Below are 20,451 nucleotides of genomic sequence, written 5' to 3' on the forward strand. Positions count from 1 at the left end.
GGACAGTGCATGCTCATTGATTTGGGGTCCTCTCTGTGCATGTCTGCCTCTCTCTGGAGCTGTGAACTCCACCAGCTTCTGTTAGTATAGATGGCTCAGTGGACAAGAAGAGTGTGACCCTGTCTTTGAGCTGATATATGAAAATGAGTGGCTTCACAAGTATCCAGGACCTAGTTGATATGATTTAATGCAAGTCAGAAGAACACGTTTCTACTAACCACCACTGATAGTGGCCAATTCATGTGGTCACATTAGAAAGATCCATCCTTCTGCCACTCAAATATTTCTTTTGTCATTGTTGGCATGGCAGATCTTTTTCGATCTTTGTACTTTTTTTTTTTTTTTGAGAGACAGTCTCACTCTATTTATTGCCCATGCTGGAGTGCTGTGGTGCGATCTCGGCTCACTGCAACCTCCACTTCTCGGGTTCAAGCGAGTCTCCTGTCTCAGCCTCCCAAGCAGCTGGAATTACAGGCATGTGCCACCATGCCCGGCTAAGTTTTGTATTTTTAGTAGAGACGGGGTTTCACCATGTTGGTCAGGCTGGTCTCAAACTCCTGACCTCGAGTAATCGGCCCGCCTCAGTCTCCCAAAGTGCTGGGATTACAGGCGTGAGCCACCGCGCCCGGGCCATCTTTGTGCTTTCTACTTTTCTTCTTCTTATGCTTAAGGTGTGTCTCAACATCTAGTTGGATTTTGGTTATTTATGCAGTATGACAATTTTTGTAGTTTGATGGCAGTATTTAGTCTATTTACATTTCATCTAATTACTTATATATTTGAATTTAAATCTACAGTGTTTCTACTTCTTTTTCTATTTGTCTCACTTATTTTATGTTCCTTTTGTTCTATTTGCCTTTTTTTGCAAATAAGGTGAAGAAAAAGGAGGTGAAGAAAAACATTTTTTGGCCAGGCACAGTGGCTCATGCCTGTAATCCCAGCACTTTGGGAGCCCAAGGTGGGTGGATCACCCGAGGTCAGGAGTTTGAGACCAGCCTGACCAACATGGTGAAACCTTGTCTCTACTAAATACAAAAAAAAAAAAAAATTAGCCAAGAGTGGCGTTGCATGCCTGTAATCCCAGCTACTTGGGAGGCTCAGGCAGGAGAATTGCTTGATCCTGGGAGGTGGAGATTGCAGTGAGCTGAGATTGTGCCATTACACTCCAGCCTGGGTGACAAGAGTGAAAACTCCATCATAAAAAAAAGGAAGGAAGGAAGGAAAGAAAGAAAGAGAAAGAAAGAAAAATTTTTTAAATGTCATTTCCCCCTTTTTTAGCTTGTTAGTGATTATATATATATATATATAGTGATTATATATATAGTGATTATATATATATAATATATATATATTTATATATATTATATATATATAATATATATATATTTATATATATTATATATATATAATATATATATATATATATTTTTTTTTTTTTACCATTCCTTTACTAGTTATGCTATAGTTATGCTATGGACTGGACTGCATTCCCCCAAAATTCATATGTGAAGGCCTAATCCCCAGTGTGACTGTATTTGGAGATAAGGCCTTTATGGATGTCATTAAAGTTAAATGAGGTCACAAGGATAGGGCCCTGGTCCAATAGGATTAACGTCCTTATAAGAAGGGGCTCCAGAGAGCACGCTCTGTCCCGACCTTCATCTCCCCTCTCTCTGCCACATGAGGACACAGCAAGGAGGTGGACATCTGCAAGTCAGAACAAGAGCCCTCCCCAGAATCTGATCTTGCTGGGATTCACATCTTGGACTTCCCAGCCTCTAGAATTGTGAAAAGTAAATTTCTGTTGTTTAAGCCACCCAGTCTGTGGTATTTTGTTAATGCATCCCAAGAAAACTAAGATCATGAGATGCATCCTTAACTTATTAAAATCTAAAATTAATGAGTAATTTTTACCATTTAGTCAACAATGCAAGGACCTTAACATGGCTTATAACCCTCTATTTACTCCCTCTCACTTTTTTTTCTATTGTAATGCATTTTAATTCTTATGTACAGGCTAGGCACGGTGGCTTACACCTGTAATCCCAGCACTTTGGGAGGCCAAGGTGGGTGGATCACTTGATGTCAGGAGTTGGAAACCAGCCTGGCCAACATGGTAAAACCCTGTCTCTACTAAAAATACAAAAATTACCCAGATGTGATGGGTGTGCCTATAGTCCCAGCTACTCCAGCCGGATTTGGTGGGCACACCTGTAGTCCCACTGCACTCCAGCCTGAGTGACAGACCAAGACTTCACCTCAAAAAAAAAAAAAGGAAGAAAAATTGTATATTTGGTTAAAAATAAAACCGGAAAAAACATTATTTTTGTCAATCTTCATTAAGATTTATCCATTTATTTACCCTCTCTGCTGCATATTACATTCCATTCCTTCCTGCCTTTCTAAAGTTCCATCTGTCATTTTCTTTCTGCCTGAAATATTTCCTTTAGTATTTCTTTTAGTGCACAGTTACTAATGACAAGTGCTCTCATTTTTGTCCATTTAAAAATATCCTCATTTGACTTGCATTCTTAATAAGTATTTTTACTGGTTATAGAATTCTAGATTGGCTTTTCAACACTAAAATGTCATTCCACTGGCTTCTGGCTTCCATGGTTCCTGTTGAAAAGTTAGCTGTCAGTCTTATTGTAGTTCCAGTAAGGGTAATCTGTCATTTTAGTTGGATGCATTTAAGATTATCTCTCTCTTATTATTTTGTTTTCAATAGTTTTACTGTAATGTGCCTATGAGTGATTTTCTCTGTATTCATAATACTACAATACTGCAGGGCTTCTTGGATCTGTGATTCATGTCTTTCATCAATTTTGGGGAATTCCTGGCCATTATCTATTCAAATATTGCTTCTGTTTTATTATCTCTCTCCTTTTCCTCTTCTTCTGGGACTTCAATTATACTTATGATAGTATTATGTTCAATATGTGATATACCATTTCTGTATTTTCCATCTATTTGTCTCTGTTTTCAGTCCAAATAGTTTCTTCTGATGTATCTTTCAAATCACTAATTATCTCTTCATCTGTGTCTAAGATGCTTTAAATTCATCTAATGTGTCCTTAATTTCAGTTATATTTTTTGGTTATAGAACATCCATTGATTCTTTTTTATATATTTCCATTCTCAATTGAAATTCTCCACTTTGTCTTTTGTCTCCTTGAATTATCAATCAGAGGTTATTCTAAAGTTTGTGTCTGATACCTCCAATAACTAGGTTTCCTGTAGGTCAGTTGCTATTTTCTTTCTTTCTTTCTCTTTCTTTCTTTCTTTCTCTCTCTTTCCTTCTTTCTTTCTTTCTTCCTTCCTTTCTTTCTTCCTTTCTTTCCCTTTTCTTTCTTTCTTTTTCTTTCTTTTTTTTTTTTCAAGGTCTCACTTTGTTGCCTAGGCTGGAGTGCAGTGGTGCAATGACAGTTCACTGCAGCCTCCATCTCCCAGGCCCAAGTGATCCTCCCACCTCAGCTTCCCAAGTAGCACACCCAGACTACAGATGTGCACCACCACACACTGATTTTTTTTTAACTTTCTGTAGAGGTGGGGGTCTCACTATGTTGCCCAGGCTGGTCTCGAACTCCTGGCCTCTAGTGATCCTCCTACCTCACCTCTCAAAGTATTGGGATTATAGGTGTAAGCCACCATGCCAAGCCTGTTTTCTATTTATTCTCTTGGTTTTGAGTCATTTGGTCTTGTCTTCTGATATGCCTCATATATTTTGAACAAATGCTGCATGTTTTGTATGAAAAATTGTAGAACCAATGTGATGCTGTAGATGATGGTATCTTTCTCCAGAGAGTTTATTTTGCTTTTGTCAAGCAGTTAGTATAGAGGCAGAGCATCTTAATCTGATTTGAATAAAAGCTGAATCTTTTTTGAGAGTTGATCAGAGGCTGTAACCAAAAGCCTAGGGTATTACCAGAGCCTTTCTGAGACTGCCAAAGCTTTGCCCAGCTTCTTAGCCTTTAAATCACTGCTCCTAGAAGCAAATGCCTGGAGGGGAAGAACAGTGCCAAATGTTAGGCTCATCTTTCTAGGTTTCCCTTTCTCTAGGATCTTCCCCTCTCAAGTCCTCACTGTCTGGATAGCTCTCTGATTTTATTTATTTATTTTTTTCATGGCCAGGTCTCATTCTGTCGCCCAGGCTAGGGTGTAGTGGCACTATCTTGGCTCACTGCAACCTCTGCCTCCTGGATTCAAGCGATTCTCCTGCTTAAGCCTCCCAAGTAGCTGGAACTACAGGTACATGTCACCAGGTCTAGCTAATTTTTGTATTTTTAGTAGAGATGGGGTTTCAGCATGTTGCCCAGGCTGGTCTCAAACTCCTGGACTCAAATGATCCACCCCACTTGGCCTCCCAAAGTGTTGGGATTACAAGCATGAGCCACCATGCCTGGCCAGTCTCTGATATTTTAAAACAGATTTTTAAAATTATCTAACTGTTCCAGTTGTTTAAGGTGGGAAGTTTCATTTGATCCAGACTGGCGTTCCAGAGCCAGAAGAAGAGATCTCAACTGTTCCTTTAGCATAATTCCTCACCTATAATGATGGTTAGCATAAAAATTAAGGTTTAGGGTATTGGCTTTGAATTCATAAATTCCATCTGGGTGGGTTTAAAAAGTATAAGTTGGTTAAACTGGTTGGAAAGAGTGGAAAATTATAGTTCTCTGTTAAGATAAATTGTTCTAACTAAATTAGTATAAGAAGCGTTTGAGCAGTCACTGGAAACATACAATACATCCCAGTTAACTTTCCGGTACTTTTTCTCTTAGTGAAGTATACGTTTGTTTTATAGCAGCAAGAATTAGGGATGCTTCTAGCCTTCTCAGCCTTCTGTCAGGCTCTGGGTCATCTTGTAGTATGCTTGTTAGGTCCCTAAGAAGACACTGTGTTTGCCTCTCTGTTTATGCCTCAGGTAAACCCATTCAATAAACATATAGCAATCACATTTAAAGATTCTCATCTTACTTATCCAAAAGTTTCAGAAATTGTCCTTTTAAAGTACAAACATCCATAAAAACCGAGAAGATGGGCCGGGTGTGGTGGTTCACGCCTATAATCCCAGCACTTTGGGAGGCCGAGACGAGCAGATCACCTGAGGTCAGGACTTTGAGACCAGCCTGGCCAACATGGCAAAACCCTGTCTCTACTAAAAATACAAAAAAATTAGCCAGCCATGGTGGCGCATGCCTCTAATCCCAGCTACTTGGGAAGCTGAGGCAACAGAATCACTTGAACCGGGAAGTGAAGGTTGCAGTGAGCCAAGATCGTGCCACTGCGCTCCAACCTGGGTGACAGAGGGGGACTCTGTCTCAAAAAAAAAAAAAAAAAAAAATCCCTGAGAAGAAGAAAAGAATAAACAGAACACACACACAAATAATTTTGCACAGCAGAGTGGAGAGGTGATACAGCCAGCCACTTGTCAAATAACTACAGCTGTTGCAAGCTTGATCTTGGCAGGTTGTTCATGCCACATGGGGAAAAGGGCCTTCAAAGCACAAAGTTCGACCCATTCTGGCAGAGTATCAGGATGAACTAGTTAACCTGAAGGCCAGGCTGCATGCTGGACAAGAACAGCTGGGAAGGCTGAGGGCATCTACTGCAGGCACTCACGTTTTGAAGCACAAGTAGGTTTTATTACCAAGGCTGTGCATAGCCACCAGCGAAAGTATAGGTAAGGCTGCTTAGTGAACTGCTTTGGGAACTGAATGAGCAGAAACGAATCTGTGAGCCCTAGAGACTATCCTCTAAAAAGGCCATGGACTGATTGTATGATAATGTTTGGGCCTCTGAACACAAGTGGGAGATTCAAGACCAGCCACTCAAATCAGATTGCTTCAGTTAATAAAATAAGGGACAATGACAGGAAGTACATGGTGTGGGGGCTGGTCCTCTCAACTCCTTGGAGAGACACACAGAAGAAAAAAAATGGTTTTAGCTAGGCTATAATCACAGAATCTGTTAGGACTAAACGGATCCTCCTTGTAGATAGAGTCTAACGTTAACCACCTTATGTTACAGATGAACAGACACCATGCCGAAAACTCCTTTTCACCTGCCAGTCCTCATATCAAACACTCATTCTTCGGCAAAGGCTTCCCTGCTTCCATTTGGTGGCTCTATCCTTCATTCATTTATTTTCTTTATTTTTCTTCTTTTTTTGTTTTAGAGGGAGTCTTACTCTGTCGCCCAGGCTGGAGTGCAATGGCACGATCTCGGCTCACTGCAACCTCCACCTCCCCAGTTCAAGTGATTCTCCTGCCTCAGCCTCCCTAGTAGCTGGGATTACAGGCATCTGCTACCATGCCCAGCTAATTTTTGTGTTTTTTAGTAGAGATGGGGTTTCATCATGTTGGCCAGGCTGGTCTTGAACTCCTGACCTCAGGTGATCCACCCTCTTCAACCTCCCAAAGTGCTGGGATTACAAGCGTGAGCCATAGCGCCTGGCCTTCTTCATTATTTTCTAATCTCAAGTGTGAGCTCCATCATTTCAGGAGCTCAAGAAAACAAAAGGTCCTCAATATCATTTGCTGAAGGGACACATGAGAAGGGGTATCTGCAAAGTGCACTGAGTCTCCATTGTCCTGAGCCCCAGCCCAGGCAATTCAGCCAGACTCCAATAGCAGTTCAAAAGTTTCAGAACACTCTGAAAAAACAATTTAAACATGATATGAAATATAGAGAATAACAGAATGACCCACCATGTACACATTACTAATGCCCCATCATTTTCCCATCTATATCTTCACACACTTCCCTTGCCCCATCTAAAACTACTTACACACAAATCCCAGATATCCTATCATTCCCTCTAAATATTTTATCCTGTATTTTCAGAAGATAATTTTAAAAATACCACCATAATATTACCGTTTCTAAAAAATTTAAGAAGACTTTTAAAATATCAAATATCCCATCAGTATTGAAATTCACAAGTGTCCTAAAAACGTTAGTTTTTTTTTCTTTTTATCATTTGTTTGATTCAGAATCTAAATGTGATTATTTTCCTTGCAATTCATTATTGAAGAACTGGGTCGTTTATCCTGCGGTTTTACAAGAGCTGGATTGTTTTGATTATGTCCCCATAGTGCTGTTTAACATGTTCCCCTGCAGTTTTCATTTCATGTAAATTAGTACAGGAGTCCCCCCCCATCCTCCAGGATATATTCCAAGACCCCCAGTGGCTGCCTGAAATCATGGACAATAGCAAACCCTACATACTGTAGAGTATGTTTCTTCATATATATATATATATATATGAATGATAAAGTTTAATTTATAAACTAGGCACAGTAAAAGATTAACAACAGTAACTAGGCACAGCAAGAGATTAACAGCAATAACTAATAATAAAATAGAACAATTACAACAATGCACTGTAATAAGAGTTACGTGAATGTGGATGTAGTAACCCAGACGGGTATTGAGTGACTAATGGGCAGGTGGTATGGACAGTGTAGATACACAAGGGGATGATCGCATCAGGGTGGTGGAGTGGCTTCGTTGTCTGGGGTAAATACTTGAGGTTCATTGCCTCATACCAAGGAAATCAAGGATCCAGATGTATGTGAAATGAGGTTAACAGCGGAGGTTTAATAGGCAAAAGAAAGAGAAAAGAGAATAGCACTCTCTCCCACAAGAGACGGGGCGGGGGGGAAGGGGCGGGGCGGGGAGGGGCGGGGCGGGGCGGGGGGCCGGCCGGCAGCCCTGGAGGAGTGCACTGGATTTCATAGATAAGCTTGAGGAGGCGGTGTCCGATTTACATCGGGCCCAAAGATTGGTTGGACTAGGTGTGATGTTTACATAACTCGCAGGGAAGCCGGCTACCCCACCCTAATCTTTTTTTTTATTTTAGACAGAGTCTTGCTGTGTTGCCCAGGCTGGAGCGCAGTGGCGCAGTCTTGGCTCACTGCAACCTCCCAGGTTCAAGCAATTCTCCGGCCTCAGCCTCCCAGGTAGCTGGGATTACAGGCGACCACCACTAGGCCTGGCTAATTTTTGTATTTTTAATAGAGACGGGGTTTCACCACGTTGGCCAAGCTTGTCTTGAACTCCTGAATGCAGGCGACACCTCCTCCCCCGGCCCTCAGCTTCCCAAAGTGCTGGGATTATAGGCTTGAGCCACCTCGCCCAGCCCACCCCACCCTAATCTTATTATGTAAATGGGGTCTTTGCTTGGCCGGGGTTATGTTGCCTGCTCCTTGGTGTACACATGTCTGGCAAAGAGAAGGGAAGATTGAGCCGCCTTTTTGAACATGCCTAGTCCCAGGTAGCCTTTTCCTATTGGCACAGCTGCTGGCATTCACCCGTGCAAGCTTCTAGCTTGCTTGTCTATGTCTGCAGCTCGATTTTACAGGCTGCTCTTTGTTAGAAAAGAAAATGATTTGGGGGCTGCTTTCCATTAAAAGGAAAACCTTACCAAGGACTTCCTTACCCTCACTATCTGCCTAAATCATTTCTTCTTAACTCCCCTATCAGTGGGACAGAGCGGGCCAGCAGGAGATTTCATTGTGCTATTCAGAATGGCACGAAATTTAAAACTTACAAATTTTTTTTCTGTAATTTTCCATTTACTATTTTTAGACTGCGGTTGACTTGGGTAACTGAAATCAAAGCAAGACGGTGGGTAGGGGGGACCACTGTGGTTGATCTCAGTGGTCTAGACACCTTTTGGGACCCCTCAGAGCTCCATATATCAAACCTGAATCTGATCATTCATGGGGGTTCAGTGGGGCCCCAAGAGATGTCTAGACCACCTCATAGTTGATGCTGAGTTTTTTTATTTCAAGGCATATAATGTGGGGAAATGGAGTGATCTCTTTTTCTGATGTCAGCAGCCACTGCTAATCGTGCCTACATCCATTCATTCATCAGGGATGCAAAATAGTGATATTCTGTCTATTGATTCTTCCTCACTTAATAGCTGGAAATACTTTAGGAGAAATACCCATCTCAGATACCGTGTGGCCACCAAAGCCCAATTTTAACACAATTGTAACCAAGACAATGCTTTCTCTCCTTACAGTCCTCTGCAGGAGGTTGAGCGACTTTAAGCAAACCTTTTTTTTTTTTTTTTTGAGATAGAGTTTTGCTGCTGTAGCCCAGGCTGGAGTGCAATGGTGTGATGTCGGCTCACTACAACATCTGCCTCCAGCGTTCAAGCGATTCTCCTGCCTCAGCCTCCTATGTAGCTGGGATTACAGGCACGTGCCACTAAGCCCAGCTAATTTTTTGTATTTTTAGTAGAGACAGGGTTTCACCATGTTGGCCATGCTGGTCTTGAACACCTGACCTCAGGTCATCCGCCCACCTCGGCCTCCCAGAGTGCTGGGGTTACAGGCATGAGTCACTATTTATTTTCTAGCCAAGAACTGACTGGCAGAGGTGGGCCCGACAGCTGTGGGAAACACATTCTTGCCTGGTTCTCTCCCGGCCAGTCAGCTGAAGCAGAGGCCCTGCCTACCCAGAGATTTTCTCAAAGCAGCACGGCTCCAGGGCCTGCTCTAAAGGTCTGGCCTTTCTCTTTGAAAATGTTTTCTCCTGTAATTAAGGGATTTTCTAACTTGAGCAATAGATTAAAATTCATCAAAATTATATTTTCAGAAAGCCATAAACCTGAAGCTACTAAGGTCTGGCTCCAGGAAATCCTGAATCCAGGAAGGATGCTCAGCGGGACAGAATTGAAGACAATAGTTCATCATCTTTCCTTCCCAGGATCGAGAATATCCCAAGGAAATGCCAAGTAAAAAAGTAAAATCAGCGATTGATTTTGCGTTTGGAGAACTGACCACGTTTCTTGATCAAATGCCGATTGCAAGTCTGAGTCAAGGTTGAGCATATAAAGGAATCCTCCCGGGTACCTCCCCTTGGGGTCTTCACATGATGTGATTTTGAAAAACCAGACTCGGGCGATCAGAGACCTCACTGCGGAGGAAATGAAGGATGCCTCGCTTCCAATACCTGGCTCCCATGAACACTCCCTCGGGTCCCTGCTAGCGCCAGCCTGAGACAGAGAGCGCTTCCTGTCCTGCTGACTGCAGAAGTTAAACGGAATCTCCACTCCCGGATTGAGGAAAGAAAGGCGTCTTCCTGTTGATTTTCGCGAGGCTGCTGACCTTCGCGGCGCCCCGACTGGGCCCACCCCGCGGAGCTGTCGGGGCAGCAGGCGCCCAGGACTTCCTGAATCCCCGGCCCCTCTGGCCTAACCTAGATCTCCCAGGACTCAGGCCTGGGAAAATCACGGCGTCTGCCAGGCCCTCCTCGCAGGCTTTGCAGTTTGCTAACTCGCGGTGCGGCCTTGGGACAGTGCCTCAGTTTCCCCAAGTGTAGTGAAGTAGGGCTGGACCGTGATTCTCAGAATCACCCAAGAAGCTTTTCCAGCATCGCCTGCCAGGGTGTCCCTGGGGACCCACCGGATCGGAGAGGGGGTCGGGGGCGAAAAGCGCCAGGAGGCTGGCAGCCCGGGCTGGAACCCGGGACTCGGGCTCGCCCGCCTCGGCAGCTACTCCACGGTCTGCCTGGCCCCGGAGCTCGCCTTCGGCCTGGGCGGGGTCTTGCGCGTCTCCGGGCCGGTTCCGGGAGGCCGGGCGGGGCGGGGCGGGCCGGGCTGGGTTGTCCCACCGGAAAGACTCGTTTCAGCTGGAGCAGGCGGCGGCCGGGCGGAAACAGACTTGTCGCCCCCGCCTCGGGCACTCCCCGCTCCCCCACCCCACCACCCTCCCCCCCCGCCCTGCGCGGCCCGCCAGGGTCCGGGAATCGCTGGCCTGCAGCTGGGGCAGCCCCGGGTCACCCCCGCCCACGCCTTCCCCGCCCACAGGACGCGCCCCCTAGGCCACACCTGAGCTCGCCCTGCGGTCCCGGGCAGTGACTCCGCCGAGCCTCGGTGGGGGAGGGGACAGGGGAGAGAATAGGGAAGAGGGGCGCGATCTGTGTCTGGGACCCGTTGCCAAGAAACCCGACCCTCGGGCTCTGGCCATCAGCAGCCGCGGTGCAGCTGCCTCCCCCTGCCTCCAGGTCGCCCAGCAGAGCTTTCTAGAGCTGGGTGCTCAGAAGACCCCAGGCGGAGGCAAGAACCTTGGGCCGCGGCTCTGTGGGAAAAGCCCTCGGGGAAGCCAGACGGCGCGCTCCAGCTCCCCATCGCGGGCGTGGGCCCCGGGGTGGAGGCAGTTGGGTCGCGGCCCTGCCACCCCCATGCTGCACGGCCTCGGCCCAGTGCCACCACCTCTGTGGGCCGCCGTTTCAGCCTCCAGATGGGGTGGCGGCGGGCCCCAGCCCTTGCCCCAAGTCTCTAAGGAAGGGTCTGGCCTGGCCCGCCCAGATCCGAGCTGCTGCGTACGCGCGGGGCTGGGAGCTGCAAAAACGCCCGGGGCCCAGGGTGAGCGGCTGGGCCCTCGGGGGACCCGGCGCGCGCGGGGGCTCCAGCTCCGCCCTGTTGGGGGCCAGAGCAGGAGGGAGGCCGCCCCAGCTTGTTCTGGGCCGCAGCCCTGCCGACCGCACGGGACAGGCGCCGCGTCCTCTCTGGGCCTCCAAGACGCAGACTAGAAGCCCATAGCTGCTGGGAAGATGGGCACCCCAGGTCTCCGCGCACGGCCTTCCCAGGGCCACGGTGAAACATGGATGCGACACTCAGGCACCTTCCCGGCCCCCGGCGAAAACGCAAAGCCTGAGCCCATGATGGGCTCGGAAGCTCTGCGGGATTGAGTCATCAGAGGAATGCTGATCTAGAAGTACAATGGCTGGAAGACACCCGCAGAAACCGCGGGCACTGGAGAGCAAGTGCAGCTTTAATCTCCAGGCGTGATTTAGATGGAAAGCAGCCTGAAGACCAGTTAAGAGAACCGCGAGCAGAGCGCGCTGGACTAGCACCAACAGACGTGAGTTCGAGACCGTCCTGCCCCTTAATCCTGTGTGACCTTGGTCCATTTTTTAAGTCTGTGAGCCTCGCAGTGTTCTCATTCCTGAAAAGAGCCTGCCCCATCTCCGGACTGCAGTGAGAACAAAAGGAGACTATGAACATGACTTTTTGCCACTTTTGAAGCCCCACACTGAGGAAAGATTTTCCTAGCACTTGGGAGATTTTCTTTAGCACCAGCTGCCAAGAATGCTGGGAAGGAGACAGCCCCATCCCAGAAGGAAGACACCTTAAATCAGAACTTTATTTTTCCTCCTATGAAAATACAATCTAATACTGGAGAAGTGTAAAAATTAAGGAGTCATTAGAAGCCATTTGTTGTTGTTGTTGTTGTTATTGTTTTGAGACAGGATCTTACTCTGTCACCCAGGCTGGAGTGAGGTGGCACGATCATTGCTCACTGTAGCCTCCAACTCCTGGACTCAAACAATCCTCCCTTCTCGGCCTCCCAAGTACCTGGGACGAGAGGTGCACTGGGCGTGGTAGCACACATCTGTAGTCCCAGGTACTTTAGAAGCCGAGAAGGGAGGTCTCACTATTTTGCCCAGGCTGGTCTCCAACTCCTGGGATCAAGCCATCCTCTTGCCTCGGCTTCCCAAAGTGTTGGGATTATAGGTGTGAGCCACCACTCCCAGCCTGTTGTTTTAACTTTCTATCAAAGAAATGGATGGAGGGTGGACAGGGATGCTGGGTGCTTTAGATTAGACTTGAAAGAGTTAACAGCATAGGTTACAGAATCACACATACCCGAATTGGAATCTCATCTTGACCCTTTACTACCACTGTTTCGTTATGTTAGTGACTTAACCTCTCTGTGCTTCAGTTTCTTCATCTGTAAAATGAAGAAAATGGCACCAACCTGTGGGGTTGTTGAGAAGATGAAATGCAATAGTGAATGTAAAAGTGCCTGACAGGACCCAGCACGTGGTAATACATAATAAATGCTAGCTAGTTTTGGTTTCCATCCTTCCTTCCTACCAATTTTTATTGTAAAATATTTTTAAACATGCGGAAGAGTTGAAAGAATCATACAGTGAACACCCACGCATGTTCCACCTAGCTTCTGCATTAACATTTTTACTCTATTTGCTCTATCACATATCTGTCCATCTAGCTTTCTTTCCCTCTATCCATATATCAATCCATCTGTTCTGGTTACTACTGTTATGTAACAAATTCCTCAAAACTTCGTGACTTGAAAAAAACAGCCATTTTTGTCATGCTCATGGATTTCATGAGTTAGAAATTCAGACAGATTGGCTTGTTGCTGCTCTAGGACGTCTGGGGTCTCAGCTCGGAGGACTTGATGCCTGCAGGCTGGAATCGTCCTGAGGCATCTTCACGCACATGTCTGGGGGTTGCCAGCATCGTGCCTGCGTGTGATCTCATCATGAAGCTCAGACTTCCTCCCAGCATGGTAGCCTCAAGGTAGCTGAACTTCTCCCAGGGCGGCTCAGAGCTCCGAGAGTGTGTTCTGGCAAACAAGGCAGAAGTTGCAGTGCCTTTATAACCCAGCCTTGCAAGTTACATAGCATTGCTTCCTGTTGGTCAAAGCAGCCATAGATTCAAATAGGGGAGAATTAGGTTCCACCTCTTGCTGGTGATGTGGGAGGCTCATTTTGTAGATCTGTGGCACAGGAACTGTTGTGGCCATCTTTGGAGATGCCACATTTACCCCTTTGGTCACAATAATGCTTGTGCAATATGCACAAATTCTCATTCCATGAAATCATCAGGCTCAGAGTCCAAGATTCCTTTTTATTGTTGTTGTTGGCTTTTGTTTTTTAGAGATAGGGTCTTGCTCTGTTGTCCAGATTGGAGTGCAGTGGTGCCATCATAGCTCATTTGAGCCTGCAACTTCTGCTCCAGTGATCCTCCCACCTCAGCCTCCTGAATAGCTGGGACTGCACACATGCACCACCACACCCATCTAATTTGGTTTTTATTTTGCAGAGACAGGGGTCTCGCTATGTTGCCCGGGCTGGTTTTGAACATCTGGCCTCAAGCAACCTTCCCACCTTGACCTCCCAAAGTGCTGGGACTACAGATGTGAGCCAATAAACCACTTCAAAATAAACCTTTCTTGTCCGGGCGAGGTAGCTCACACTTGTAATCCCAGCACACCAGGAGGCCGAGGTGGGTGGATTACCTGAGGTTGAGCAACAAGGAGAAACCACGTCTGCACTAAAAATACAAAAATTAGCTGGGTGTGGTGGTGTGCGCCTGTAATCGCAGCTACTTGGGAGGCTGAAGCAGGAGAATCACTTGAACCTAGGAGGCAGAGTTTGCAATGAGCTGAGATCACGCCACTGCACTCCAGCCTGGGCAACAGAGCGAGACTCTGTCTCAAAAAAAACCCAAAAACTAAAATAAGCCTTTCTCTCTTTTGGGTTCCCCATGAAATTGCTGTGGGACAATGCCCTTAAGATTCCTAGAAGTTGGTTGGGCGCAGTGGCTCACGCTTGTAATCCCAGCACTTTGGGAGGCTGAGGTGGGTGGATCACCTGAGGTCAGGAGTTTGAGACCAACCCGGCCAACATGGTGAAACCCTGTCTCTACTGAAAATACAAAGAATTAGCTGGGCATCGGGGCAGATGCCTGTAATCCCAGTTACTCAGGAGGCTGAGGCAGGAGAATTGCTTGAACCTGGGAGGCAGAGGTTGCAGTGAACTGAGATCCCAGGCTATGCACTCCAGCCTGGGAGACAGAGCAAAACTTAGTCTCAAAAAAAAAAAAAAAAAAAAAGATTCTTAGAAGTCCTATTGTTTAACACAGAGGATCTACAAAGTATGCTGTTAGTTTCCTTAAGAGGCTTTTTGTCTGGTTGAAAGGGTCTACAAGGCACCACCATAAAATTTTCTCATATCTTAAAGAAGAACTTTACAGTGGGGCACTTGGTTCACCCTTACCCTGAGCTGCTTTCCTAACAGTGCCCTGGGTCTGATCTTTGCCCTTTTTGAATCTTCCACTGGGAGAAACGTGGAATGAGAAACAGTTTTTTGTTTTGTTTTGTTTTTTGAGACAGGGTCCCACTATGTCACCCAGGCTGGAGTGCAGTGGTGCAATCGTAGTTCGTTGCAGCCTCAACCTTCTGTGCTTAAGCGATCCTCCTGCCTCAGCCTCCCAAGTAGCTGGGACTACAAGTGCACGTCACCATGCCTAACTTTTTAAAAAATGTATTGTAAAGAACATTTTTTAAATTTTTATTTTTATTTTTTATTTTTTGTAGCTATGTTGCTCAAACTGGTCTCAAATGCCTGGGCTCAAGCAATCCACCCGCCTTGGCCTCCCAAAACGCTGGGATGACATATGTGAGATACTGTGCCCAGCTGAGAAATAGTTTTTGAATCCACCTGGTCCCGACTTCTAAATTCTGCCTGAAGCTGAATATTTCTTTCTCTTCCTCTACGATACAGAGCTAAGAGAAAACAAATGGTAGCTCAGGACTCTGCTTGGAAATCTAGAAATAGCTGGAGGCTGGGCTAGGACAACTTGAAAATTAAGACAAGCAAATGGAGGAATTTCATGTGGCTTATCAATGAAGTTGGCATCATGACTTCATGGTGCCTCAAGATAGTCAGACTTCTTACCGGATGGTTCAGGGCTCCAATCACAAGTGTTCCAGTGAGTAAAACGGAAGTGTCAGGAACTTTTCTGGCGCATGCTTATAAGGTACACAGTATCACTTCCATGTAACTCTGCTGGCAGTTGAGTGACTGTTCCACTCAACACTGATGGCAGTCACACGCCCATCTAGATTCAAGGAGAGGGGAATTAGACTCTATGTCTAGAAAGGGGAGTGTCACGATTACATTTAGCAGAACACGTGGGAACGGAGATGTTGTTGTAGTCATTTTTGGAAAATACAATCTGCCCCACTGTCCATGTTTTGATGCATTTCAGAGTACTTTATAGACATCATTACACTTCCCCAAAATTCACCAAAAATGTGTGAGAGTTTCGACTGCCCTCGTTCTCACCCGCAAATGGAGCTGAGGGCCATTTACATTTTAATCATTCTGGTTGGTGGGTAGCAGTATCTCATTGTGGTTTTAATTTGCATTTCCCAGATAACTAAAGATATTGAATAGTTTTTCATGTTCTTATACACCACTCATATCTTCCTTGGTGAAGTATCTTTTCAAATCTTTGGCCCATTTTTTGGACTTTATTTATTGATCTTTTTTTTTTTTTAGAGAGACACTCTTTGGCTCAAGTGATCCTCCCACCTCAGCCTCCTGAGTAGGTGGGACCACGGGCACATGCCACCATGCCCAGCTAAATTTTTTTTTATCTTTTGTAGAGATAGGGGCATCTGTATGTTGCCTAGGCTGGTCTTGAACTCCTGGTCTCAAGCGATCCTTCCACTCGGCCTCCCAAAGTGCTGGGATTACAAATGTAAGCCAAAATGCCCAGCTTGAGATTTTTTTTTTTTTTTCCAAATGGAAATCCAGTTGGTCCAGTACAATTTGTTCATGAGTTTCCTTTCCCTGTTGGATTGCATTATGTTTGTCAAAAATCAGATGGCTGGCCAGGCGCAGTGGCTCATGCCTGTAAATCCCAGTACTTTGAGAGGCCGAGGTGGGAGGATCCCTTGAGCCCAGGAGTTCAAGACCAGCGTGGGCAACATAGTAAGACCCCATCTTTTTTTTTTTAATAAAAAAAATCAAATGGCTGTATTCATAAATATGTGTTTCTGGGTTCTCTATGCTGTTCGTTGATCTATTTATTCCTCCTATTGCTGGTCCCACACTGTCTTGATTACTGTAATCTTACAGTAAATCTTGAAGTTCTCGTTCCTTTTTGAGTAAGATGATTCCTTTTTAATGGACAAAATATTGCTGACTTCTACATAGCTGTTGCATTTCTAGCATGTTGATTTAGCAAATAAAAGTAGTAAAAAGAACTTGTGAACACCTGAAAATGACCTTGGATCTTAGTGATCACAATGACAACTACAGATATCTAGAAATCTGTCACCTATGCACAGGTGGACATCACATGGGGATGTGTGATGGCCCTGAGGTGACCACGTATTCCTCAGCAGGAAAACGGGGTGTTTTTCTGCTGCTGGAATCACTGATAGCCATCAATTTAGGTGAGATTCCCAAAGCAGTGGATTTCTTTTCAACAGGAAGATAATCAGTTGAGTTTTCCAATTTGTCCATGTGAGGTTTCTTCCAGACTGAGCAAGATACACAGGGATGAGAGAAGGTACTCTATGGGATTTAGTCTTTCCCAGGAGACACTGGATTGGATGTCCCAAGAGGACCGTTATGAGTTGTGTGTCCCGCAAATTCATGTTTTAGTCCTCACCCCTACTGTCTCAGAATATAACCTCATTTGGAAATAAGGTGTGTCTGAGTCTGTTCTTGCACTGCTATAAAGAAATACCCGAGACTAGGTAATTTATAAAGAAAAGAGGTTTAATTGGCTCACAGTTCTGAAGGCTGAACAGGAAGCATGGCTGGGAAGGCCTTGGGAAACTTACAATCATGGCAGAAGGCAAAGGAGAAGCAGGCACATCTTCCACGGCAGGAGCAGGAGGAAGAGAGAATGAGGCGGGAGGTGCTACGCACTTTTACATAAACAGATGTCTTGAGAACTCACTGTACAGTACCAAGGGGGAGGGTGCTAAACTATTGGTGAGAACTCCACGCCCATGATCCAATCACTTCCCACCTGGCCCCACCTCCAACACTGGGGACTACAATTTAACGTGAGATTTGGAGGGAAACAGATCCAAACCATATCAAGGTGGTTGCAGATGTAAAATGAGGTCATGTGCACTGTGACCTTATGAAAAGAGGACACAGAGACAGACATGCATAGAGGGAAGATTCTATGAAGATATTTGGAGAACACCCTCTTCAAGCCAAGGAGGGCCTCAGACTGCAAGAAACAGGACAGAGGCATAGAAAAGAACTTTCCTCAGCCCTCAGAAGGAACCGCCTATTGTGCTGACACCTTGACTTCTGATTTCTGGTCTCCAGAATGGAAACAATACATTTCTGTTTTTTGTTTTGAAACAGGGTTTTGCTCTGTCGCCCAGGCTGGGGTGCAGTGGCATGATCTCGGCTCACTGCACCTCCACCTCCCAGGCTCAAATGATCCTCCCACCTCAGCCTCCCAAGTAGCTGGGACTACAGGCGCAGGCCACCAAGCACGGCTAATTTTTTATTTTTATTTTTGAAGAGACAGGGTTTCGCCATGTTGCCCAGCCTGGTCTCGAACTCCTGGGTTCAAGCGATCCTCCTGCCTCAGTCTCCCAAAGTGCTGGGGTTACATGTGTGAGACACCACACGTGGCCACATTTCTGTGTTTTAAGCAACTCATTCTGTGTTATGACAGCCCTCAGAAACAAATACAAGTCCCCAGCCGTCTGCTGTCCGCCACGCATGCCTGGCCTTCGATGGGCAACGAGGTCCCACTTTTCCCTCTGGGACCCACCTCTTTCCTATTGCATGTGGCTCGTGGGAAGTCAACCCCAGTGCCCACTGCCTGGCAAAGGGTTCAGCTCAATGCCCAGCTCCTGCTAGGAGTCTCGAGTTTTGAGTGGAGGGACCTGGGGTGTACAATGCTTTGTGCTGAGCCATTCTAATGGCAGTACCCCCAAATCCTGCTTGCACCCCCACATCCTCAGATCACCTTGGTTCCTAATCTACCCAAGGCTGACTGTCTAGCTTTTGTGTTGTCCCATGTCCTTTCAATAACAATAATGATTATTCTGATTTGCTAATGTTAGCCAGCGCTGGCTTCTGTTACCTGCAACAAAAATCCCCAGTTGACCCCGTCATGCCCTTGGCCTCGGCTCGGTTCTTCTTCTCTCCTGTCTAAAAGCCATTAGGTGGAGCCAAGGAAAACAGGCACTGTTGCAGGGTGGAGGTGGGCAGTGCCAGTGCCGGCAGCCTGGCACGGAACACCGGAGCCCAGCAGGGTAAAGGAAATTGGTGAAATCTGGTGTGGGATTCTGGAGCCCAGTGAGATGAGGAGGATGCACTGGGAGGTGGCAGGGGCGGGGCTGGGTAGCTGCCCCAGCCCAGCACAGGGCATTGCAACAAAAGCAGGAAGAGCGGGGAGTCCAGTGTGAAAAAGTAGTCTCAGTTGGATGAGGCGGTGACTGCACGGAGTGGAGTAGGGGTGGGAGGTGGTGCTGTGCGGGTTGTTTGATCCCAAAGGGGATATGACCCGAGAGACCAAAGTTGATGCCCCTTTATCAACTAAGACGGACCCTAAGGTTAAGGAAACAAAAGTTACCTATGGGTCGAGGGTTCAGGGCCTGGCTGACACGGCAAATTTCTAAATTCCTACCATTACAAGAAAAACCACACTCTTGCTACGCTCCTTAACGATAGGAGCTATCGGGCAAATTATCAGCTGATTTACAGATCAGATCACTACAACTCTGATTGGACAGAGGACCAGCCTTACAAACATTCTCTTCTGATAAGCAACTTCACCTTAGGCCAGTCTCAGCAGCTGATAGAGGCTGTGCACAAACTGTCTCGGCATCTTATAGTTCACTTTTTGATGTAAGGGGCTAAATTCCATCTCGTTTTAATCCTAAAACCCCATTTCAAAGTGAACATGGGATATATGTTACATACACATACCACATACTACATCATATACATACATACATACTTTTCTTCTTTTTTTTTTTTTTTTTTTTTTGAGACCAAGTCTCACTCTGTCGCCCAGGCTGGAGTGCAGTGGTGCGATGTCAGCTCACTGCAACCTCCGCGTCCCAGATTCAAGCAATTCTCCCTGCATCAGCCTCCTGAGTAGCTGGGATTACAGGCGCCCACCACCATGCCCGGATAATTTTTGTATTCTTTAGTAGAGATAGGGTTTTGCCATGTTGGCCAGGCTGGTCTTGAACTCCTGACCTCAGGTGATCCGCCCACCTCAGCCTCCCAAAGTACTGGGATTACAGGCGTGAGCTACCACGCCCAGCCCATAAATACTTTTCTAAGTGAAAGTTTACAGTGTGTTAGAAGAACATTTTTCTTTCCTCATTGGGCCCTCATAGTTCCATAGAAACATCCAACAATAAAAGGCAAATTGAATCATGTTTTCTTTCAAATGCATCATAAACTATTTTCCTTCAGTGAATGGAAGAGTTTGGCAGAGGAATTTTAAAGAAAACATTGAGAAGAAGTTATTAGAACATGTTTCTTTGTCCAATAGGTGCTGAAAGGCCCGTAGAGAAATCCACTCATAACCGAGTACAGTGGCTCACACATGTAATCCCAGCACTTTGGGAGGCTGAGGTGGGTGGATTGCTTGAGCCTAGGAATTCAAGACCAGCCTGGGCAACATAGTAAGATCCTATCTCTACCAAACAAACAAATAAAACAAAGTATTAGCCGGGTGTGGTGGCATGTGCATGTAGTCCCAGCTACTCAGGAGGCTGAGGTGGGAGGAACATTTGAGCCCAGGAGGCCGAGGCTCCATGTGAGACATGTTCGTGCCACTGCACTCTAGCCGGGGTGACAGAGTGAAAAAAAAAAAATGAGAGAAATCCATCTATT

At 46.0% G+C, this 20,451-nt stretch overlaps 1 long non-coding RNA gene across 1 annotated transcript, besides 1 other annotated feature; it reads left to right on the forward strand.

The window, feature by feature from the left end:
- The first annotated feature begins 9,386 nt into the window (after positions 1-9,386).
- Positions 9,387-12,881, forward strand: SUNO1 (S-phase upregulated non-coding 1). Its single transcript, NR_186328.1, has 2 exons — positions 9,387-9,515; positions 9,610-12,881. It is a non-coding gene; the product is annotated as an S-phase upregulated non-coding 1 (long non-coding RNA).
- Positions 18,360-18,877: an enhancer, noted in NCBI's record as "H3K4me1 hESC enhancer chr19:34404777-34405294 (GRCh37/hg19 assembly coordinates)". NCBI's record gives its function as "activates a minimal SCP1, AML or CMV promoter by ChIP-STARR-seq in naive H9 embryonic stem cells {active_cell/tissue: H9 hESC(naive)}" and the evidence as "EXISTENCE:reporter gene assay evidence [ECO:0000049][PMID:30033119]".

Source organism: Homo sapiens, chromosome 19 (assembly GCF_000001405.40).
Source record: "Homo sapiens chromosome 19, GRCh38.p14 Primary Assembly".
NCBI lineage: Eukaryota > Metazoa > Chordata > Mammalia > Primates > Hominidae > Homo > Homo sapiens.